This window comes from Homo sapiens, chromosome 1 (assembly GCF_000001405.40).
Source record: "Homo sapiens chromosome 1, GRCh38.p14 Primary Assembly".
Classification (NCBI taxonomy): Eukaryota; Metazoa; Chordata; class Mammalia; order Primates; family Hominidae; genus Homo; species Homo sapiens.
In genome coordinates, this window is record NC_000001.11 from 248,936,571 (window position 1) to 248,937,350 (window position 780).

At 39.9% G+C, this 780-nt stretch overlaps 1 pseudogene; it reads left to right on the forward strand.

The window, feature by feature from the left end:
* On the forward strand, nucleotides 1-529 carry RPL23AP25 (ribosomal protein L23a pseudogene 25; annotated as a pseudogene).

Sequence of the window (780 nt, forward strand, 5' to 3'; positions counted from 1 at the left end):
CTTTTCACAAGATGGCACCGAAAGCGAAGGAAGCTCCTGCTCCTCCTAAAGCCGAAGCCAAAGCGAAGGCTTTAAAGGCCAAGAAGGCAGTGTTGAAAGGTGTCCGCAGCCACACGCAAAAAAGAAGATCCGCATGTCACCCACCTTCAGGCGGCCCAAGACACTGCGACTCCGGAGGCAGCCCAGATATCCTCGGAAGAGCACCCCCAGGAGAAACAAGCTTGGCCACTATGCTATCATCAAGTTTCCGCTGACCACTGAGTCGGCCGTGAAGAAGATAGAAGAAAACAACACGCTTGTGTTCACTGTGGATGTTAAAGCCAACAAGCACCAGATCAGACAGGCTGTGAAGAAGCTCTATGACAGTGATGTGGCCAAGGTCACCACCCTGATTTGTCCTGATAAAGAGAACAAGGCATATGTTCGACTTGCTCCTGATTATGATGCTTTCGATGTTGTAACAAAATTGGGATCACCTAAACTGAGTCCAGCTGGCTAACTCTAAATATATGTGTATCTTTTCAGCATAAAAAAATAATGTTTTTCATAAGAATGACAACTTAATTAGAATCAAATCTATAAGCTTTAAGATTTTACGTTTCTAGTAAGTATAATATTAGCTTATTTGACTAGAACTCAAGCAGAATAGGAATTTATGCTTGTTTTATATTCAATAATGATAGTTTTGAAGATATAGTTGTTTTATTACACCAAAAATACTATATTAATCTTATTTAACTAAGTTTTATCCAAATCATGTTAACTTAAGAAACATTTGAT